At 38.8% G+C, this 24,894-nt stretch overlaps 1 protein-coding gene across 1 annotated transcript in view; it reads right to left on the bottom strand.

Annotated features, from left to right (window-relative positions):
- The window catches only part of XRCC5 (X-ray repair cross complementing 5), a 96,946-nt gene that overhangs the window by 64,172 nt on the left and 7,880 nt on the right, over positions 1 to 24,894 (bottom strand). The window contains exons 4-13 of the mRNA NM_021141.4: positions 24,328 to 24,376; positions 22,957 to 23,079; positions 19,869 to 20,060; positions 16,091 to 16,205; positions 14,448 to 14,586; positions 11,135 to 11,247; positions 9,735 to 9,797; positions 4,897 to 5,034; positions 3,943 to 4,033; positions 803 to 936 (exon numbers count right to left, since the gene is read on the bottom strand). Coding sequence (NP_066964.1) covers positions 803 to 936; positions 3,943 to 4,033; positions 4,897 to 5,034; positions 9,735 to 9,797; positions 11,135 to 11,247; positions 14,448 to 14,586; positions 16,091 to 16,205; positions 19,869 to 20,060; positions 22,957 to 23,079; positions 24,328 to 24,376 — 1,157 coding nt within the window. The remainder of the gene's footprint in view (positions 1 to 802; positions 937 to 3,942; positions 4,034 to 4,896; positions 5,035 to 9,734; positions 9,798 to 11,134; positions 11,248 to 14,447; positions 14,587 to 16,090; positions 16,206 to 19,868; positions 20,061 to 22,956; positions 23,080 to 24,327; positions 24,377 to 24,894) is intronic.

Genomic DNA, 24,894 nt, shown 5'->3' with positions numbered 1-24,894 from the left:
TCTACTCAGAATGCTTGAGCCTAGGAGTTAAAGACCAGCCTAGGAACCTTTTTTTTTCTTTTTTTTTAAAGACTCGGTCTCATTCTGCCGCCCAGGCTGGAGTACAGGGTCGTGATCTCGGCTAACTCCACTCTCCATCTCCCAGGTTCAAGCAATTCTCCCACTTCAGCCTCCTGAGAAGCTCGGATTACAGGCACGTGCTACCATGCCCGGCTAATTTTTTTATTTTTTGGTAGAGACAGGGTTTCACCATGTTAGCCAGGCTGGTCTTGAACTCCTGACCTCAAGTGATGCACCTGCCTCAGCCTCCCAAAGTGCTGGGATTACAGGCATGAACCACCGCACGTGGCCAAGACTTGTCTTCACAAAAATTTTTACAAATGAGCCAGGCATGGTGGCATGTGCCTGCAATCCCAGCTGTTCAGGAGACTGAGGCGGGAAGAGTGCTTGAGCACAGGAGTTTGAGGCTATAGTGAGCTATGATCACAACACTGCACTCCAGCATAGGCAACTGGCCTTCCTGTATTTTTTTTGTTAAAGTAAGCTTCTTCCAGGAAAAAAAAAAAAAAAAAAAAAAAAAAGAAAAGAAAGAAAGCATTCCAACTTTATTTTTCTTTTTAAGAGCTCAGAATATTTTTACCTTCTGAAGTAGGAGAGGAAGATGTTATTCTTCCATTAAATAGAGCAAATGGGGCCTTCAGAGAAAAAAGACATTTATTTAGGACTGGCCAATTACCGCAACTTTGCACTTAGCTCTCTTTCATTTAAAAGAAATATGACTTGTTCATCCTTCTTCTCTTACCTGAAATAATCTCTGAAATCGAGGATTTGGGATTTTGGTGGTTGGAAACAAGTCTTCAAGGGTGTCTGTCTTCTCATCTTTCTTTGCCAAGCTCATGGAGTCAATCAAAGCATCAACAGCATTCAACTGTGCCTCTTAAACAGAGAAGCCGAAAGAAAAATGATTATTTCCATTATTCTCCACTAAAACAAATGCTTTCTACGTAGAGATATCCACGGCAATATTGGCAGGTTATACAGTCCTGGCCCTGCCAAAGTATTCTCTAGCTATGCACGTATTTAACCCAAGTCTTGGTTTTCTTATCCATGAAAAGATCGATTTAGAGTGACTGACTGATTAGGTTCCAGTTCTACCATTCAGTGAGCCTCTGACAATGGAGTATCAGATCAAAAGCAAGAAAGTTTGTTTCAGAGGAATACAGCCATATAAAAACCAATCCCTATAAGGAGACTGGAACAAAATATTTAGTATCCATTGAGCTAATATTTTAAAAACTAGTAATTAGCTAAAGAAGAAAAACATTAAAAAGAAAAAACCTCTCTGGTAATGAAGCATAAGCATTTTAATGACTTTAATATAACTTTTATCAGAGTACAGCACCTTAACAGGAAGACACCATTGGATCAGGGTGAGCTGATTCCTTCACAATCTACTGAGGCTGAATAAGCTCTCTCCTCTCTTAATGCCTCCATGACACTACTCACACCTGCGTACATGTCTTGCCCTACTCCATTCAAACTCTCAAGTTCCATGAGAGCAGAAATACGACATCCTCTTTCCTTAGGTCTCTCCTAATACTAATAAAAAACAAGTGCTCCTCAATAAAAATCTACTCAGTCAATAAAAATGGTACAGCCCAAAGCAATATGGACGAAAGGCAATTCTCCCAAAAATACTTCTGCCTAAACTACTGTGTGTAACTTTCATTTTACTGATTCATACAGCAGTTCAGCTGTTGAACCTGAGGCACTATTTCTGGAACATTCACAGTCACCAGGCAAAAGGTGGAAAAGAGTAAGTAGTTCCTAAAAAGTACATTATACTTCTATTCTGCACCTTTTCAAATATCCCTTTTGTACAGCTACAACAAAATAAAAGAGCATACAGATATTTATCATCAGATATTTCTTTTTTACCCATTTATGGACTTTTCATGGTGAAACCATGGAGGTTTCAGGCAATGGCACAGCCAACACCATCTTGAACTTGCTAATTCAAGGCCCTCCCAGCAACAGGTAGGGGGCAGTACTTGTACATGTGAACATTCAGTGATTTTCACCTACTACTACAAGGTAGCAGGAGGCCAGATCATCCTGGCATTGCATTCCTACATAGACATCTACTGGGAAATACATGAAATAACTTTAATGTTCCATTTTTCCAATGGAGAAAATGTAAACAAATGTTAACTCACAGAAAATAGATAACAGAAGATATTTAATGTTTCAGATCCTGAGTGATTTATGTCGACAAAATAAATTATCAATAAACTGGGTTTTTAAAAATATTCTGGGCTGGACGTGATGGCTTACACCCATAATTCCAACAGTTTGGGAGGCTGAGATGTGAGGATTGTTTGAACCCAGGAGTTTAAGACCAGCCACAACAACATAGTGAGATTCCATCTCTACAAACAATTTTAAAAATGAGCCAGCCACGGTGGCGCGTACCTGTAGTCCCAACTACTTAGGAGGCCGAGGCAAGAGGATTGCTTGAGCCAGAATTGGCTGTGTCCCCACCCAAATCTCAACTTGAATTGTATCTCCCAGAATTCCCACATGTTGTGGGAGAGACCCAGGGGGAGGTAAATGAATCAGAGGGGCTGGTCTTTCTTGTGCTATTCTCATGATAGTGAATAAGTCTATAGATTTATTCACTCCAGATCTGATGGGTTTATCAGGGGTTTCTACTTTTGCTTCTTCCTCATTTTCTCTTGCTGCCACCATGTAAGTGCCTTTCGCCTCCCACCAAGATTCTGAGGCTTCCCCAGCCATGTGGAACTGTAAGTCCAATTAAACCTCTTTTTCTTCCCAGTCTCGGGTATGTCTTTATCAGCAGTATGAAAATGAACTAATACACAGGGAGTTTGAGGCTCCAGTAAGCTATGATCACGCCGCTGCACTCCAGCCAGGTGACAGAGTGAGACCCTGTCTCAAATAAATAAATAATTAAATATTCTACTCATTTAAATTTTGGAATTATCAGGAAATAGAGACAGAGTAATACTGTAATACAGTGGCAACTTCCATATAATCAGGTCCATGCCTGCCTCCACCGTGATGCAGACAGACTCATTTCTAGAAGGAAGATAAAGATACAGGCCCTAGGGACCCATCTGATTCTTGGCCTTTCTATAGCACACTACTTCCAAAGGGTCTAGCCAAAATAACAGAAAGAATTGAGTTCCGAGACTCACCTCACAATTCCCTAATCTTAACACAGACACAGACATTATATATAAACTTGTAACCTAAAACATCTACTCATCATTTGTTGTTCTTTTTGGTATGTTTTCTACTTCTGCCCCCTATTATATTTTATTACAATTGTTTTAAATGACAGGCTCTCTGGAAGACTGGACCTGTGGCTCTAAGAATAATTCTATATAGGACCCTGACATTTGCAGCCAGATGCTCAATCAGGAGCTTTCACATCAAGCCTGAAGTAACTCCTAAAAGCCAGAAATAAGTAACAATGAGACTTGGACTGTTGGTGCAAACTACAAAAACAGGGCAAAGAGAAAAGTTAATCTTCAGCACTGTCACTTTTCATTTCAAAGCTACATCAGACTTTACACAGAACACTAAAGTCACAGGTTTGATACTGCTCAGATTCACTTCGGCAGGGGCAAACTCTGCTCACAACTAGAGATGGACATCCATTACCATCAAGCTTTCCCCTAGGTACATGCTCCAAGGCAAAAACTAGACAGTGTTGGGTGAGTTTAAGGCAAACCTATCCCTACTACTGGAAAAACACCAAGTAAACCACCTTCATCATTACTGTGTCTAAGTGTATGATTGGAAATCCAACTAATTGCACCCTATAAATACCTAGCCCCAACCAACAACTAGCAGACAGGTGATTTCCCAAGAACAGTGTGTGTAGTCAATGAGTGATCTAAATGAAAACAAACTCACCGGTGGGAGCATATTTCTTACTGTTTTTCAAGGATGAAAACATGTATTGCCGCAAGTCTTCCATGAAAGGCAGCTGCACATACACTAAACACTAATGAGAAAGAAAGGGGGTAAAAGCAGAAACGATGAAATTAATGAAAAAATATAAAACTGATCCCAAATTCTGTGAAAGTAGCATAACAGAAATATTTCAAAAATCGGACAGCCCAACTCTGGCATATGAAAAGTGAAGTGTTTTGACTTCTGCTACTGGCTGTTCACAACTGCAAACAGTATAAAGAATATTAAGCATAAGAGAAATGTATAAAAGAATACTAAAGGACTGCTATCAAATGCATGACCAATACAACAAATGAGAAGACTAGGGTGACCAGAAGGTTGACCTGGAAGTCAAGATATGTGCCTTCTCTTTCCAGTTCGGCCACAGTAAGTTCTCTGAGACAGAGGAAATGATAAGGAATTTAGAACTGTATTTTACACAAGAGAGCCCTAAATAAACCGTTTCACAAAGATCACAACAAAATCATATCCTCAGCCTTTATTCATAGTTCTCATTTGTAAAAATGGAGGTAATTTCTCTATTTGGTTCCAATAAGTCAAGAAGGATGAGAACCAAGAAAAGGCCATGGTGAACCTTTATTGATTATTCTTTTAATCTAAAACGATTTTCATAATACTTAATAAAAAGATTCTTATGATACTTTATAATTAAAAGATTCTTATATTATTTTTATAACGTATACTTTTTCCTCCAACCGAAAGTGTGGTTCACAGACCAGTATCAGCATTTCTCGAGAGAAACAGAGAATCTGGGCCCTGCCCCAGAACTACACAATGAGGATCTGCATTTTAACAAGATCCCCAAGTAATTGTCATGAACATTAACAGCTGAGAAACACTGCTTAGAATAAAGGAACTGAAGAAAAAAAATAACATTAAGACTTTGGGTTTTACCTCATAGTTATGCTTGATATGAGGAAAAGCCACGCCGACTTGAGGATTAGCTCTTTTGTCATAAGCATATCGAACTATGGCCACCATGTCTAAGTCATCCAAAGCATGAATCAGGGAGGAAAGTGCAACTGCAGCTGCCTGGTAAGAAAGATGGATGTATTAACACATATTCAACATGTGAGAGTTTTCACAACAGAACTCAATACTTTAAGACTGTTATCACTTTCTTTCTATTTTACATTTTTTAGGGTGCCCCCTGACTTGAAGGACGAAGTGCACACATTTGCTTTTGATTACATTTACTGTAGCTCTTCTGGGACTTAACCTCATTAACTAAATCCGTCTTACTGCTTCAACCTTCCTTCTCTAAATTTTTATCTTTACCCTAAAAATAAACTCATGTCAGCCCTCCTAAACAAATCTTTTGTTTGTCCTTCCCTCTCCACAAATTGCTATCAGTATCTTTCCTGTCTTTACCTCTGAATTTCTTAAAATAATAGGCATGCTGTTTCCACTGCTTAGTGCATTATTATTCTTCAGTCTAGTCCAGCTACTGCCCCCACTTCCTTAATGAAATTATCCTCTGAAGTCACCCATCACCTTCTAATTGCCAACTCCTTGGTTCTCGATTTTTTTGTTTGACAGTAGCATCTCACCATTCCACTGTCTCTATATACTTTCTCCTTCATGGCTTCAAAAACAACATTCTCCCCTGATTATTCTCTTTTCTCCACCAATTTGTAAATTCTACTTTAGACCTTTCCCTCCTCCTCTCACTCTAAAATTCTACTTGGGGATTATTTCATCCAGTCCCATGAGTTGATGAATCAAAAATCTGTACATTCTTTTATTTCTTTTTTTTTTTTTTTGAGACACAGTTTCGCTCTTGTTGCCCAGGCTGGAATGCAATGGCGTGATCTCAGCTCACCGCAACCTCCACCTCCCAGGTTCAAGCGATCTTCCTGCCTCAGCCTCCCAAGTAGCTGGGATTACAAGTATGTGCCACCACGCCCGGCTAATTTTGTATTTTTAGTAGAGACGAGGTTTCTCCATGTTGGTCAGGCTGGTCTCAAACTCCCAACTTCAGGTGATCCGCCTGCCTCGGCCTCCCAAAGTGCTGGGATTACAGGCGTGAGCCACCGCACCAGGCCTGTACATTCATTTTTAAAACTCTCCTAAGATCTAGACTTAGACTGCCTGCTAGCTGGTGGATATCTGACATGGCATCTTCAGTTATCTCAAACTGTTCAGTATGAACTGTTCACATTCACCACGACAAGACTAAAACCTAAACTTACTATCTTTCCCCCTCATTCTCCTCCTGGATTCCCTATTTCCATTAACATCATTGCCTAATCAACCACACTGGAAACCCCGGTCTTTGATAATGCCACCGCACCATTCTCATCCTTCACTTTTTTTTTTTTGAGACAGAGTCTCACTCTGTCCCCCAGGCTGGAGTGCAGTGGCACAATCTCGGCTCACTGCAGCTTCTGTGTCCCCCGTTCAAGCAATGTTTGTGCCTCAGCCTCCCGAGTAGCTGGAATTATAGGCACGCGCCACCATGCCCAGCTAACTTTTTGTATTTTTAGTAGAGATGGGGTTTTGCCATGTTGCCCAGACTGGTCTCGAACTCCTGACCTCAAGTGATCCACCTACCTTGGCCTCTCAAAGTGCTGGGCCTCATCCCTCACCTTTTAAGTGTTCACGAAACTACCAATTCTACCTCTATACTGTCTCTCAAATCCATCTCTTCCCTGACAGCCACCTCTGTTCCCAGAGCTCATCACGTCACTCCCTTCCAGTCGTTCCTCTATTCTGGCATCACTGAGCTGATCACTGACTGGGGGCAGGTCTCATACTTGGCCTTTGCTCATACCATTACCTCCTAGCTAGAATGCCCCTTTACTAATCTCTGGCTCTCCAGCTTCTAACCTTTTCTCTAGGCTTAGTAAATTGATACCCTCTCCATTCCAGATTTACCTTAGTCAGCTCTCTCTCTCTCTCTGCAGAAACTCCCCAAACACTATGTACTTCTCTCACTATCACGGTTAACCTTATCAAAGTTAAAAACCTATGACCTCCCAGCCATGCTGTTGTAAAAACAAAACAAACAAACAAACAAACAAAAAAACTATGACCCCAAGACCTGGCCATTAGAATCCTGTACAGATTTCATAACAGAATCATTACTTTTTCAGTTCAATTCAAAGGCTACTTTACTCAGTGCCTGTTCTTTGCCAGGCACTGTCTTGAGCCCTGTGAAAAAACAAAGCCAAGTCCTTGACCTCACTTACCTAATACATTCTTTATTAGCAGAAATGAGATATGTAGCAAATATGAAACATGTATGTTCTAATAGTTAAGTCCCATAAGAAAGGGCTAGATAAGCACAATGAGAATCTGAGGAAGAGATTACTTCCAATTTGTTTGAAGTTTTTATTTATATGTCTTTGACAGGACCAATTAGGATGTTTAAAAGAAGGAAGGGGCTGGGCACGGTGGCTCACAACTGTAATCCCAACACTTTGGGAGGCCGAGGAGGGGGGGGGGTGGATCACCTGAGGTCAGGAGTTCAAGACCAGCCTAGCCAACATCGTGAAACCCCCTTCTCTACAAAAAATACAAAAATTAGCCGGGCGTTGTGGCAGGCATCTGTAATCCCAGCTACTCGGGAGGCTGAGACAGGAGAATCACTTGAACCCGGGAGGCAGGGGTTACAGTGAACCGAGAACGTACCACTGTACTCCAGCATGGGCTACAAAAAGCCAAACTCCGTCTCAAAAAAAAAAAACAAAAAAAAAAACAAGAAGGAAGGATGGGGCTGTGAATGACTGCTACATGGTGAAACAGTACTACAGCTGTGTATAACTTAACTAAAGCTCCATTTCCTTCCTTTCTTTTCCCTCCTTGTTTTCTACACACAGTGCAAATCAGCACATGAAAGTATAGATTCTCAATACAAAAAATTATATGCTAATGACCAGAGAAAACTTTTTAAAGAGGGAATTATCCAAAGAATCAGAATATTTGAGCTAAAAAACAACAGTATTCATCTAGTTTAACAATCCACATGTACATCTGACTAGTGGTGATAAAGACTTTTATTGTAAACTTACAGAAATGGGGATCTGATCATCTTACAAGAAAACAATCCAGTGGGGACAGTAATCCTTGTTGACAAAATAATTCTTCATCTTGAACAAAAAGCACCACCTGCTGTTTCCAGTTCACCCCTCTGATACGAAGCAGAGTTTAATTTCTATTCTACAAGATAATTCTCCAAATGCATGAAGAGTGCTATTATGTCTGCCATCCCTCCTACACCCCTGCCTACCTACACAAGTCTTCTCCAGGCATTCTTTTGTTTTGTTTTACTGGAAGTCCTCATATGACATTGTTTCCTTACTCCCTTGCTTATCTCAGAAGCTCCAATTAGATATTATCATTTTTTGACTACCTCAAAAACTGACACTAGAGAGTATCCCTTTGCCATTAGGAGATAAATCTGTTTTTCTTGAGTTATCTCAAAGTGATCCTATGATATACAGAAATTAGTGTTGTATAAGGCCAGATTTGAATTACACAATCCACAAGGCTGCCCTTAGCTAGCAAGCCTACATCATTACCCAACATGTGTGTCTCAACACAACTTTGTGATTCCTCACTGCATACCCAGCAAGTCTCATGAAGTGATCAGAATGTTCTTTGCATAAAGAGACAGTAAGTGGAAGTTAAAACTTCAGCAGAAGCAAGGAATGGTGGCGCACACCTATAGTCCCAGCTATCTGGGAAACAGAGGTAGGAGAATCGCTTGAGCCCAGAGGTTCCAGGCCAGCCTGGGAAACATATGAGATCTTGTCTCTTAAAAAAACAAAACAAAATAAAACTTCAGCTAAGTTGTGGTTTGACAGTATATACTAGACTTCCATGATTCCCAACAGGATTTGATTCAAGAGAAATCCATGAAGTAGGATTCTCAAATTTGAAGATTCATGTATGCTAATATTGTGCTCTAATAATTCATTCAGAACAGGGTAGAAGCCAAACATTTTCTTCCCTTAACTGTTCTGAGATAATAATGGCATACCCATCCACTATATCAGCAACCAGCTACCTTCCAGAAGTGAGGAGAAAAAGAGAACTATACTAGTTATACCACCACCCTACCCCCACCCCAAACAAGCCTTCTACATCCAGTTTATTAATTACAAATGCAAATACTTCAGGAACTTGGAAACCTGCTTGAGCTGCCTTAAACAGATAGTAGATTGCAATCTTCCAGTTAAAATCAGTATCTCCAACAAAGTTAGTTCTAACTTGGAGATCAAACAGTAAATATTTACAGAAAGGGCAGATGTGAGTATAGAATGCAGCAGTCATAGGCTGTTAGCTAGAGAAAAACCAGCCTGAAAACAGAGTATCTTGGGGAGGCAGGAAGAGTACCAAGAGAGAGGAATAGAGAAAAGACACATTTCCTCAATGACAAAAGCAGTCTAGTGAGTCACTGAAGTGCACATCCAGGATGCTTATGACAACACAAAATGTCAACCTGACCCCAACCCTCCTTAACATTTGACTGTGAAATTCCCATTCCTAAATGCAGTGGTTCAAAATGTTTTTAATACTTCCTTGGTCTCCATGTCCTCGGGTCTTGTGCTCATGCTAACACAAATCCATTTACCACATCTCCATTTTCAGTTAAACATCAGTGGATTTCCCCACTCCTATTGCAAGAATTCATGTCATTTTAAACTATAAAAGCCCCAAACAACTTGCTTTCATAGACTTACAATTCAATTCTGTAGCACTACCTCAAAGACCTGCTGCCAACTCACCTCATCATCTCTTGCTGCAAAGACCTTTAGAACTTGATTTCCCATGAAGAATCTTCTCTGAACCTACAAGAGAGGAAAAGAATTGCTTTTGATCCAAAATAAGTAACATGTATAACCATGACACACATTGCCAAGAAATTCCATTCAAAATCCTCTTACTGAAAAACATTCAGATACTAAAAACACCTTATTACCTGAAGTTTAATTCAATACAACACAACAAATATCTGAGCACCCAGCATGCGTTCAAGATTATCTGAGCACTGTAAACACAACAGTGAACAAAACATAATCTTGCCCTTGAGGAGCTTCAATAGATAAATATGAAATTAACTGCAGTGTAGTATTATGGTCCAGGGTTACATGGTGCTTTAAGAGCACATAAGGAGGGCACCAAGCCTGGTCATGAGGGATCAGGGAAGGTTTCTGCAAACGGTGACACCTAAGTCGAGACTTAAAAGGACAAATAGGAACTAAGAGAAAAGTCTGGGCACAAGCGTTCCAGGCAGAGAAAACAGTATCAATAGAAGTCTGGAGTGCTGTAAAAGCATGGTACATTTGGAGAACTGCTCTTGGAGTAGTACAGTGCCACTGTGTGAGAGGAAAGGTGAAAAATTAGATTACAGAGATTAACAAAGATCAGATGATGAAGTCTCCTAAAAACAAAGCTAAGTGGTTTGCATTTCCTCCTAAGAGTAACACTGAGGCACTGATGAACAGTAGAGGCTTGAGTGAAGACTTAGAGGGGAAGGGTTGAAAGAAAGAGAAATTAAATCAAAAATAAGTACTGCATGTCTCTCCCCCCACCCCCTTAAATTCAATTAACTTATCTAGCACAGTATCAAGAGGGGTCAAGACAGCTCTACTAATACCAGATTAGAAAATGAGTATTGAAGAGTTCTGAAAATCATAACCACCTGCACTTATCTACCAAGATCAACTTTGTCTGATCTATGAAATCTGGAGCCTGCGGTTTATTTTCAAGAACATGCAATGTGCTGTATTGGGCAATGTTTCTCATGCATTTTTATGCCCTCCCACCTCTAGAGTTGAGACATTATGAGCACTTTCACCATAATACCAGCTCAAGAAGACTGAACCTCAAAGGGATGAGGGTTAGGCCCACATAATTCAAATACCCCTCATCTCCGCTTCCATTCCCCATTCAAAAACCATCCTGTATTTTTAGTTTGCTATGCTCATATAGATTTACTTAACGGCTCTGAACCTCAGTTTCCCAATGTATAAAATACATACCATGGCAACATTAACCCCCAGACTACATTTTAGAAAAATTAAAAGTGAAATAAATATACCTTATAAATAAAATGACCAATCAAAAGCATACCATTTCAAATAACAGCTAGGAAAAAGCTCATTTAGTTTGTTCACAATCATACCTGAGAAGATTTACAAAATCCCAAAACAGAGAAGCACTTCCCCTCCGATTTATATTTCATTTGTTCCTCATCCACTTTAGAGAAAGGAACTATATCACTTCCATAGCGGAACCCTGGAGAAAAAGAGAAGAGCATCTGTTAAGCATATGGGGCCTCATTTTCTACAAGCTGAAATTAGTTCCATGCATACATTAACAACACACGCACACGCCAGAGCAAGCCTCCATCTTCTATTCCCTGGAATCAGATGACTGCCCCTTGTGATCAATGGTGAAAAAGCAGCAGCAGATACACAAACCACACATACAATATAGAGATGATTAAAATCTAATTACATTTTTTAAAGTAGCATATTTTGCAATCTAGTTAGCTCAATGATTACCCAGCCTAAAAGAAAAAATCTGGCAAATGTTAACGTACTAGTTATCCTCCAAAGATAAACCATGGTTGACTAAAGTACAGCATGATTTGTAAACATAAGAACACATTATTCAGAAACCTAGAGACCCACAGAGAAAAATGCCAACAGGAAATTTTCAGAACAAAATGTTCTCAAAAACGTATGCTGGAGATATGCAATGCCTGACAGAAGCTAAAACTCTTCTGTTTGGAAACATTCAATTGATAAGTTATATATTTTTCTATATTTAAATTTCTTTTATTTCTGGGATTTAACTGTATTTTTCTTTTTAATTACATAGGATATTTATATAAACATAGGCTCTCGGCTTCTTAAAAAAAAAAAAAAAAAGTCCAGCCCTGTTCTGTAGCCTATATTCTATGAAAAATCACACCCTTTCAATACACAGTATCTTCTATGTTTTGTGGGAAGAAGGAGCATCAAAATCCAAGGATTCTGGCCTTGGACAAATGCAAAGGAAAAGCACATGCATCTTTACCCCAAGACACAATAAAACTTTCATATCCAGGGACAGATTCTGTGATCTAGTGTTTATTTGTTCCTGTTAGTCTGTTGATGACATTTATTTTATTAAAAAGAAACACACTTTTAGGCCAGGCACAGTGGCTCACACCTGTAATCCTAGCACTTGGGGAGGCCGAGGCAGGTGGATCACAAGGTCAGGAGATTGAGACCATCCTGGCTAACACAGTGAAACTCTGTCTCTACTAAAAATACAAAAAAAAATTAGCCAGGCATGGTGGCACGCGCCTGTAGTCCCAGCTACTCAGGAGGCTGAGGCAGGAGAATCACTTGAACCTGGGAGGTGGAGGTTGCAGTGAGCTGAGATCACACCACTGTACTCCAGTCTGGGCGACAGAGCAAGACTCCGTCTCAAAATAGAAACACATTTTTATTTCCATGTATGTCTTTTTTAAAAAGCTAGTGACAAAACCAAACTTTCCAACAAAAAATTAACAGGGAAATGTATGGCACATGATTAAGACTGGTACCTAAACCAAATGTTTGTCTTAATCTCTGTCATCAGTCATCATCTTACTTGAATCGTGTGAATTGTGTAACTTGTAATGAACATTCTAACTAAAACTGTTTCATGTTTTCTGGTTCATCTACTGAAATGGCATATAACTCCAACTTTTGTACATTGTATACTTACAATAGACTACAACATTTAACCAGATTCCTTTGCCCACATGTGTATACTGGTCCCTTAGTTCAAGAAAAAACAAAAAACAAAAAGCAAAAACCTCTAGCTGATTAGGGGCTGGAAACTGGAGGACAGGAGAAAAGATGCACTTCTACGCTCTTTGAACCCAAGCAGTTTTTAACTCTTCCCTCTCCATTGCCCCAGCAATAAATTTCCTTTTTGCCTAAGATAACCAGGGATGCCTTCCTTGCTGACAACCAAAAGAACTGGCATCCATCCTTATCACTAGATCCTTCTCCTTCCAATCCATCCTACAACCAGTTGTCATATTAATCTTCTTAAAATATAGCCCCAGTGACATTCTCTTCCTCAAAACTGTAAGTGGCTCCACGTTGTTTTCAAGGTTATGCATAAACTCTTAGCCTATTATCCAAAGCCCTTCATTACTCAGTCCAAATTCAGAATAGAATGCAGGCACAGACTCTGAAGCAGTACAGGCCTAGATCCAAGTCCTGCTAGTTGAGAACTGTGGGGCTTTGAATATGTGAACGAGTGTCTTTCAGCCTCAGTTCCCTTATCTATAAAATGGAAATAACAAAGAGTGCCTGCTTTATAAGATGGTCGCTGATGATTAAAAGAGAAAATGCAGGCTGTCCATTAGATGTTACCCTCAAGTACTAACCTGTATATGCTCAATACACCAACCCAAGTGGACTACTTAGTATCTCTGAGAAGTCCCCCTACTTTCCAGGTCTTGTGGCTTTAATCATGCTATTCTTCCTACTATGAGCCAGTCATTATACTAGGATCAAATGATTAACCAATGATGGAACCATGATTCTAACCCAGGTTTGATTCCAAAATTCATGTTCTATGCTACAGAATTGAATTCAAGAACTGGTAGAAATTGTAGGGTATTAATTATATTCTACATATAATCCATCAGGAGAAAGGAAGGAATCATAACCACCACCACCTTTAAACAACCCCCTCCTCCAACACACACAAATATATACACTGTAAGATGAAATACAGTGTCACAGAGGAAAAGAATTCTTTTCAAGACTTGCAAATCAAAACTATACTGGGTAGTGAATAGCCTGGCAAAACATTTATCTAAGGACTCTTGTTTCTATCTTAACCATCATTTGGTATCTTAATAATTTTAGGTCTTGAACATACAGATATCCTCAGCTAGTTTCTAAGTCCTCTGGATAAAGATGCCATCTAGACACACTATTCAATCCAAATGGGTATAACATAGGAGTACAACTTTTAAAAAATCCTATTTAATATGAAGCAATATAATAAATACAAATAATTTTCAGCCCCTAAATTAAGGAAGCATATCTGGTAGGACATAAAACCTGAAGTTGGCCCTTAGAAGAATAATCACCATGAAAGTCAAAAATAAAACAAACAAAAAAACCTTAGTTCAACCATATTAAACATGCTCCTAGCTAGTGAGTTTCAAACTTTAAAATAAAGCCAAGTATTGAGTACTATCACTTAAGACATTTAAAACTCACAGAGATGGAACACCCAAGTGTACTCCTGAGAAGCAACCTGCCTAAGACCCAACAAATGAGCTAAAGGACCTAGGGTCTCATTATCCTTTCAAACTGTTATATTTCTATAACTCAAAGAAATAACTTTAAACAAAGAATAATACAAACCCCAGCCTGCATCACATCATGTTGAAGAAAATGTCTTTTAGGCAACAGTGAAAACTCTTACTGACATACCTTGAATAATATCCTCTTTTAAAACTTCAGTTTCATCATCATCATTTAAGCAATAAACTGTTTCTTTTTGTATATCTTCTTTTTTTAGGGTTTTTGCATCCACAACTGTCCAAGTCTTTTTAACTCTCTCCTGTAGAATCTTACATTCCAAAACACAAAGGGAAAACAAGGAAAGTTAGGATTCCAATTGATAGAAGATGAAAACCTAATACACTCTCTGGCACAGACAAAAATCCAGAACAATTACTCTAGCTCCATTATTTTGTTTGCTCATGCCTATTATGAAAATTTTAGTTTATTTCATAACAAAATATACTGGATAACCTTCTCTACATTTCATTTTCTCCCAAAAGTAATCCACAAATATTTACATTCACACTTTCTATACAAAACCTCAGACTGTCTAATATTTTTATTTATTTATTTTTATTTTTTGAGACAGAGTCTTGCTCTATCGCTCAGGTTGGAGTGCAGTGGTGCAATCCTGGCTCACTGCAACCTCCGCCTCCCGGGATTAAGTGATACTCATGCCTCAGACACCCAAGTAGCTGGGACTACAGACGCACATCACCATGCCTGGCTATTTTTGTGTTTTTAGTAGAGACAGGTTGACCAGGCTGGTTTCGAACTCCTGGCCTAAAGTGATCTGCTCACCTCAGCCTCTGAAAGTGCTGGAATTACAGGCATGAGTCACTGCACCCAGCCAGACTGTTTAATAAAAAGAGGACTATACATTTTATCATAGTTTCCAATAGAAAAAAAAAAAAGAAGCAATATATCTGTGTCAGAAATCAACAAAGAAATTTGAAAAGCAGGCCAAAATAAAAGAGGAGGGAGACTATATTCACATTCCTAGGGACACTATTCTAGGCTTTGATGGAAGCTGAAATAAATAAAGAACTGCCCCAAGGTTCTCACAGATATATCATGTATTTTGGAATTAAGTTCTTTAATATACAAAGAAAAAAACTAAATACATAAAAACATGTTTTTGTATATTTATTTTATATGTCTAAAATGTTCCTATTTATTTTGAACACTTAAAGGAAAAAGGCAAGGAGGCTTATATGAAGGCACGCATCAGATTCCTACTCAAACTAGAATTTCATCAAATAATCACCAAAAGCAACTCATTTTTTAAAGTGTGCTATTGTATATAAATGTACATATATTATAAAATGCAATTTTACAGTAACAAAACATTTTTTTACATTTCACAGATGTTGTTACTATCAGATCATTCATAATTGAATTAGGTGTCACTGAGCTCCAAAACTGAACTTAACTTTGGTGCATTATCTACATTTCTGCTATGATACTACAATAACACAGCTTAATGCATTTCATTTTCTTTCTTTTAAAAAAAAGAGACAGGCCTAGAACTTATGATTAACAATCAATTACCAATGGAGAGAAAGTAAAAGAGGAGGAAATCAAACTCTATTATAGACAATTCTTTAAACTTCCTCTCCTAGCCTGCCTTTTACACAAAAAGCTAAACAGAGATTAAATGAGCAGGGAGAACAACTAGAAAAGCAGTAATTATGGTTCCGAGTAACACACACATGAATTGTCTGTTCCTTATATACACATATTTATCTGCCTGGTAACATTTCTGTTAAAAATGTGTACCTGCCACTTACCGATTTATAGGCTGCAATCCTTATAGACAAATTGGAGCCAATGGTCAGTCGGCAGGGCCAGTGAATGGAATGCCTCTCAATTTTCTTGAAGACGCACAGTTTTCTCAGACTCTCACTTAATAAAGAAAAATATAAAATGAAAGCAACAATTTTTAAATGTTAACTTGTGCTGGATGATGCATTTGATTTTCTACAATGAGAAGTGAGCTAATGTTAATTATAAAGAGAGAAACAGCAGGAGATGGCCGGAAAACAACAACCACAAGTTGGGAGATATAGCCAGGGCAAGAGTGAGTTGGCTTAGAAGGGAAGAGGAGCTGAATTACTTTACTAACAGGTGAAAATGAACAGCTCTATTTTCCTCTTATTCAATACTTTATTTCAACTCTGCCAGAGGTTCTTAACATTTTTTCAGGACCAGCACACCTTTGAGGATGTGATAAAAGCACATTCATGAATGAGTCTGCACACAATATAAAGGATTCACTACCAACTCCCTGAAAACCACGGACCTGAGGATAAGAACTTCTGCTCAGGGCCGGCATAGTGACTTACACCTGTAATCCTAGCACTTTGGGAGGCCAAGGCAGGCGGATCACCTGAGGTCGGGAGCTCAAGATCAGCCTGACCAACATGGAGAAACCCCATCTCTAGTAAAAATACAAAATTAGCCAGGTGTGGTGGCGCATGGCTGTAATCCCAGCTACTAGGGAGGCTGAGGTAGGAGAATCACTTGAACCTGGGAGGCGGAGGTTGCGGTGAGCTGAGATCGCGCCATTGCACTCCAGCCTGGCCAACAAGAATGAAACTTTGTCTCAAAAAAAAAAAAGAAAAAAGGAAAAAAAAAAGAACCTCTGTTCTAGAGTATCAAAGGGAGGGCACCATCCTATAATTATCATCACTGTTTACAACTCTATAATTCATTAATTCCAATTCTGAATATTAAAGATACACATTTTTATATGTATATAATAGTGAGAGTTAAAGACTATCCAAGGAATAAAGGAATTTAGTTCATATTTAGTCTCAAGGTAAAGCACGTTAACTCTAGGTTTCTTACTGGTGGGAAAAGCTGGGGAGAGGTGCAAACAGTGTTGTGGAGTGCTGCTTCATTTAAACAAAAGTGAAAATCAATCATATTTTCATCTGGCCCATAATCAAACACAACAGGGAAGATGATAGGAGATAGGTGGAATTTGTGGTATTCACTAAAATAAGCAGCAAAGAAATTAATGACAAAATACACTCAAAGCATACAGTCCAGACTTTCTGGCTGAACTCCTTGGTACAGATAAAAAACAGATCTACAAAGTGGTAAAGAGAATTATTTTACATTATCCACAGAGTTATGGACAGACAGGTCGCAAGAGACTCCAATTTTCAGAAATAATTTACAACGAATAGTAGATATCTTACCTGACACCCAGCTTCCAAAGCCTATGGTGCACAATGGCTTTGGATTTGCTGAGGAATGAATGGGTCTGAACCAGGTCTAACGTGTCTCATACAACATTACTAGTCAAACAGAATATAAACCTCATGGCCTAAAATCACCATGAGATTTAGATTCTATTTCAGGGAAAATTCTAAAGACGGGCATCCAATATATAAGATCTGAGTAGCTGGGCATGGTGTCGCATGCCTGTAATCCCAGCTACTTGGGAGGCTGAGGCATGAGAATTGCTAGAACCTGGGAGGCAGAGGTTGCAGTGAGCTGAGATCACGTCACTGCATTCCAGCCTGGATGACAGAGCTAGACCCTGTCTCAAAAAAAATCTAAGAACAACTGACTCAGTTCTGCAGTAGAGCTCAATCTCCTCAGGTAGATGTCAAGTTCTCTTCCTAAGATCTATATGGAGATAATCTAGTCCAGTGCTGTCCAGTACAACTTTCTGCAATGATGGTAATGTTCTATTTCTAACCATGCTAGCCCAATAGACACTTCAAACACAGATAATATGACTAAGGGACTCAATTTTAAAATGTATTTAATTTTAACTAACTTGAATTTAAATAGCCACATGTAGCTAATGGCTACTGTACTGGATGGCAAAGTTCTGGTCTACACCTTCATGGCAGACCTAAAATCAAAGTAGCGTCGAAATGCTAAAACAATGCATAGTCAGTAATTTCCCTATCTGATATGCTACAGAAAAATTTAAAAAACAAACAAAAACACTTTTTAAAGAGTAATCTATATTGGCCTCTAATTTTTCTTTTCTTTTTGAGACGGAGTCTCGCTCTGTCACCCAGGCTGGAGTGCAGTGGCATGATCTTGGCTCATTGCAACCTCCGCCTCCTAGGTTCAAGTGATTCACTTGCCTCAGCCTCTCAAGTAGCTAGGACTACAGGCATGCACCACCATGCCCAGCTAATTTTTTTATTTTTAGTAGAGACGGGGTTTCGCCACGCTGGCTGGGCTGGTCTCGAACTCCTGACCTCAAGTGATCTGCCCACCTCAGCCTCCCAAAGTGCTGGAATTACAAGCATAAGCCACCGTGTCCAGCCTAATTTTTCTTTGTGATATCATGGGTAATATGTTTAGCTTAAGGCATTTATTCCAAAATTTGAAAGAGAAACAACTTAGGAACACATATCTGTAAATATTGTGACAAGAACACATTACGCCAAGAAACTTCACCTCACAGGATTCCTCACTGATTCCTAGGGCAATCCCGTGGGCAATTCTGTTTCCTAAATTTACCTATCATTTTTCAAGGCTGTCTGTATTTAGAAAATCAGAACATAATTTTTGTCAATTATAGCTCATCAGAAATATTAAAAATGGTCGTTTAGAAAAAATATTAAGGAGATATACACTGTAGCTACTTAAAAAAATTCTAGTTGTTCAATCACTACTTCAATGTGCTTAAACAGCCAGTATTTTGTGTACAGACTGATAAGCTGGAAATAATTCAAGAATATCAAGCAGTATTACCCCTGAGAATTTGAACCACCCAAGCCATACTGCTATGTAAAGTACTCTATTGCCACTTTTACCAAATTGAACCCCATAGGACACACACTATTCTAGATGCCACCGATTCTTCTTAGGTTCTTTGCTCAAAATGCATGTATGTCCAATTCCAACCAAGAATAAGATGGATAAAGGAGATGGTCTCTTCCATAGTCTCTAGCTGGATGGTTGAAAAAGCAGTTTGCTTTATTGTTATACGGTACTTCAAGGAATTCACTTTTCTTAAATCATTTTGCCTTTCCAACGCCCACGTAAAGTAAGTAGGCTATGAACTCTTTACATTGCAGGTTTTTTTTTTTTTCACTCAATCAAACTGCTTTGTGATCAAAAGTTTAAAAAAAAAATCACTATACCATAGTATGCTACTTTCTAAAACCTTAATAGGATGATAAGAAGATACTGACTATCTCAGATCTGAGACCACTTTCTATAATTAATAATGTTTTTTGTAGATGTGTAAAAAAAAAAGGGCCCAAAAAATGTATCCCAAGCTTGGCATAATGAAGAAATCTACTATTTCATCTTTTGCAATTTGACTTGTTAATTTCTCATGGTATCTATATATTCCTGAACTTCACTGACACAGGTCCTGGAAATAAATGAGAAACATGTGCCAAGAACACAAACTTTAAAAAGGGTGATTAAGGGTGGGTGTACTATTTCTTTAATAAAACTCAGAATATTAAGCAATGACTAATTAGAGAGTGGCCCAGAAAAAGGAAACATTTGGGAGACCTCTAATCAAAAGAGAAATTTACGTGGGTACAATTAAAAATTCCCATCAATGTTTTCAATTCTTACCTGAATGAATAAATTTCATCCAACCCATCTTCACCTTCTAAAGATATCATCACCATTTTCACTATCTCAAGACCTTCTTTTTGCTGTTCGGTAATTCCTTTTAGTGGAAAGGAAGGCCCATGGCCACCTAAGCGAAAGGGGCCATCTCCTCTGTCCCCACTTCCATCTTCCTTGCCAAGTGAGAAAGGCAAGCTATTAAGAAAGATCAACAGTAGTTAGTGTTCTAATCCTGTAACTGTAACTCATCAGCTATGAGAAAATGAGCACATCAGTCAACCTTTTCAAGTTTCAAATTTCTCATCTGTCAAACGACTCTTACCTACCTTAGCCAATATTCTCCCAGTTTCAAGTGACTGAAACCTCTTTGGTTTGTAAAAGGGGAAAATCACTGGCTACTACATAACCAAGTAACTGAAAGGGCAGGGTGGCACAAGGCCTTAGGAAGTCCAGACCCAGGGTCTCAACTGTGGCAAGGATTACTCTCTCTGTCTCTATTTTACCTTCATTTGCCTTTATGCTGGCTTCACTCTCTCCGACTGGCCTCTTCCACACTGTAATGGTCTACACGTGTCCCCCAAAATCATTATTTTGAAACCTAATCACCAATATGATACTATTAAGACAGAGGCCCTTTAGGAGGTAATGAAGTCCTGAGGGTGGGGAACTCATAAATGGAATTAGCGACCTTAAAAAAAATGGTTGAAGGGAGAGGCTTTTTGCCATTTTTGCCTTTTATGTCCTTCCACCACGTGAGAACAGTGTTAGCCCTTTTGACATGGGATGACACAGCAATAAGGCACCATCTTGAGAGCAAAGATCTCTCAGCAGACACCAAATCTGTTAGTGCTGTGATCTTGGACTTCCCGGCCTCCAGAACTGTGAGAAATAAATTTGTTTTTAAGGTGATTTCTCATTTTATTTGCTACACTTAAAATAAGGCTGTTTACAATTTTTCTTCATATACTTAGCAAATACAGCATGATGTAATTTGCATGTCCTGCATTTATCAGGTAAAAAGTTTCCAGGGAGGAAAGTGTGAGACACAGGGTTTGCATCAGGTTACTCCTGTTTTCAAAGCAATAACCAGAAAAGGACAAATGTCGTAAAAGTGAAGAGAAAGGAAGTTATCCTGGAAAAAGAAATAATAACTGTTCTGTCTATTCTGCGTTAGATCAGAAATAAGCTTCCTCAGTAGTCAGTAGAAGAAACTAAAAACTGTGCCAGGCACAGTGGCTCACGCCTGTAATCCCAGCACTTTGGGAGGGCGAGGCAGGTGGATCACTTGAGGTCCGGAGTTCAAGACCAGCCTGGCCAACATGGTAAAACCCCATCTCTACTAAAAATACAAATATTAGCCGGGCGTGGTGGCACACACCTGAAATCCCAGCTACTAGGGAGGCTGAGATAGGAGAACTGCTTGAGCCTGGGAGGCGGAGGTTGCAGTGAGCCGAGATTGCACCACTGCACTCCAGCCTGGGCAACAGTGCGAGACTCCATCTCAAAAACAAACAACAACCAAGAAAAACTAAAAACTGCTGGGTGTGGTAACATGCATCTATAGTCTCAGCTATACAGAAGGCTCCGGTAGGAGGTTCACTTGAACCCAAGAGTTTTAGGCTGCAGTGAGCTATAACTATGCCACTACAGAAGACGTTTCTAAAAAAAAAAATTAAAAATAAATTAAAAACAGAACACAGGGCTTCTCTGAGCTGCTGGTATTTTTTTAGTCCAATTACAACAATCAGCTGTACATGGAATACACCAAACAGTAAAACTATGAACTCTACTTTGTATGCTGGAGGTTTGTAGCACAGGAAGAAAGCATATTACCAAGAAAAAAATACAACCAAATAAAAAGCAAATAGAAGCAAAGGCTATGCTTCCTCTTCTGCACTTTTCTGTATTGCTCATGGAAAAAAAGAGTAGCTCTTTCGAATGACATTCACTGAAATGCAGTCTGCTTCTAACATGTAAAGGCATCCTGAGATTATGAAAAAGGACCAGAAGCTGTGCTGGGCTTCTGAAGTACTGAGAAAAACCTCAACTCAGTAAGAAGTGTCACTTAAAAGCACTTAATTTCTCTGAAGTACCATCTTAACAAGTATTGGTTTGATGGGTTATTCTGAACTCTTTTTCCACAGTCGTACAGAAAGGAGATGTCGCTCTGTAGTCTTAAGAGAAGACTACTCACACATGCAAAACAAGTTCTTAATACCCCCAGGCAGGCATTTTATGAAGCCAAAGGCTTACCACTCTAACCTAGAGGCTTCTTGGCATAGCTCTCAATTTGAAAAACGAGTATTCCCAGAAGATTAATAATTCAACATTCTATACCATCACTCAACTTTCACCAAAAATAGGACAAGAAAAAATATGTTTCAAATGCAGCAAGAAGGGTTAGTGTAGTGAAAAGAAATTTTTGTTAGGGATATAACACAGAGAAAGTAAATCCCGGAGGGAATATTCAAGTTACTTTTTGAGGAGGAATTCTCTCCCTAATAAATTGTGAAATACATATTTTTCCCCTGAAGTTTTATACTCCATCTCTGAATTAACAGAAGCAAATTAAATTTTATATATGTGTCCACAACTTTTGGATCTGAAAAGAGTTAAACATAAACATGTTATGTATTTAGAATGATTCCCAAGTTGGCATTCCTGTCTACCCTAAAACATGCACTCTGTATAGGACACAGTTCTCTAGAGCTGTTTAAGAAAAAAAAAAATCCATCAATCTGCTAATTGTTTGGGTAAAGCCTTCTATGCAGGAAGGAGACAAATTGAATATCCTCAAAGGGTTCTTCTAATCCTCAATTCTTTGAGTCTAAGAACACTAAACAATGATCTGCCACTAAGCTCAATTCTTCTGGATCACTGACTTTCATCTTTTTGTCACGACCACTCAGAACAGTTCCTAGAACACAGAGAGTAACCAGCAAATGTTTGCTGAGTAGTCAGTCATCTGACAGATTCAGCCTTGGAGCAGAAAGCGAAAATTCCCATAAACCAAGTACTCTATACAGAGGGCCCATTCACTATATTAGGAAATCATAGGATTTGTCTACATGCATTATTCTTAGGATCTTACAAGAATTGCAGGGAGATGTCACATTTCTTCAAGCTATGAATTATAATATCCAGCTGACTTTTGCTGAATCGGCTGCTGAGGTCAGTGAATATTTCAATATGCCTCTTCTCAAACTTCTTTCCTCTAAAAGAGAGAGTTATCATATTAAGAAATCATTCTCCTGAATTATTTTTCTACAAATTCAAATACACTTGGTCACTGAGGAGAGAAGCTTAGAAATGGATCTAGAGTTAATAAATGTGATTACATTCTAGTAGTCCAATTAAGTTCTTATTAAATTCATAATCAACCCTGATACACTTTATACTTTGAACATCTTGGCCAAAATGTCTGGGTATTATGGAAATGTTATGTTTCTGGATTCCGAACTCAAATGTGATGAAAAAATATCCCTTCCCAGCCTCCACATAGGCAGAATGTAAACAAAGAATTCTCCCAGCATACTCTAACTTCAGCCTTGCTCAGGTTCACTTTCTAAATATCCTGCTCTGACTCCATGCACAGATTTTGTGTGGCAAGATTTGGCAGAGGATGTACAGAGATTGAGAAATGATTACACAGATTTAGGTCTGGGATTTTAGTGCAAATGATTTTCCTGACAGGCAAGAGGTATGTGTACATGCACATATATGTCTCCAGAGATACACTTCCAAGGCACAATAATTAAATAAATACTGAATTAGGAAGCAGGCCAGGCATGGTGGTTCATGCCTGTAATCCTAACACTTTGGGAGGCCAAGATAGGAGGACTGCTTGAAGCCAAGAGTCTGAGAAAACCTGGGCAAAATAGTGAGACCGTCTCTGCAAAAATAAAAATTTTAAAATTAGCTGGACTTGGGTGTGCACCTGTAGTCCCAGCTACTCAGGAGGCTGAGATGCAAGGATCTCTTGAGCCCAGGAGATCAAGCTGAGGTTGCTGTGAGCTATATTGGCACCACTGCACTCTAGTCTGGGTGACAGAACAAGACCCCAACTCAAAAAAAAAAAAACAACAAAAAACATACACACACACAACAAAAAAGGGAAGTTGGCCAGAGTTACCATGCACTTAATATCAATGACATATGGCTTATACCACTTAGTGTTTTTTAAAATTCCTGGTAATCAGCTTAAGTCTAATAGGAAGTAAACTGAAATAAGCCAAATGTTTTATTTCTTCCAGAGAAATAATCACCGAGTACAGCCCTTCCCCTTTTAAAACTTTTAAAAAACAGAGAGGTTGGACTGAACCATTCAATTCTATAAAATGTTTCTCTTGTCACACAAACATGCAGCTTGATTAACAATGAATCACAAAATACATTCAATACATTAACCCATACAATTTTTGCAAAAAGATTCTCTTCCAGCTCTCTTCCTTGGAACACTTACATTGTTTCATGTTGAATCACATCCATGCTCACGATTAGTGCATCCAGGACTCAGCTAGTTAAGGATAGGGATATCACCAAACAGTCTCTTCATGTGAACACGCAACTCTTTCCAATGAAGTCCACCGTGCTGGAAATTGTGGACACTGAACTATGTGATGACTTAAAGTACTTGCCTGAGTGCCCTTCTTCCAAAGTTCACTAACATATATTCATACATTCTATATATCAAACTATATATTCTGCCAAAAACAACCAAGAAATATAAACAAAAGGTAATCTAACACATTGCATTCATTTAACCAAAAATTATGTCATTTAATAGTATCTAGAACCCATTCTTGGTGGCCACAGTCCATTCTTAAATATGAAGCGAACCATAATGTAGCATTTGCAAGTCACTCCTAACACAACAGCACTTCCCAGTGATCAGGAATAGCACTACTAACTGATTAGAAAAAGAACAAGAGTGATGATCCCTTAAAATTAGGGGACCTGTGGAGTAAACTGGAAATCTCACTTTGGGTATCAATCTGATTTCTGGCACAAAAACATCTTCCATCCAGAA

Source organism: Homo sapiens, chromosome 2 (assembly GCF_000001405.40).
Source record: "Homo sapiens chromosome 2, GRCh38.p14 Primary Assembly".
Lineage (NCBI taxonomy): Eukaryota > Metazoa > Chordata > Mammalia > Primates > Hominidae > Homo > Homo sapiens.
Note: the sequence above shows the minus strand (reverse complement) of the source record. Positions and strands in the feature narration are given on the sequence as shown.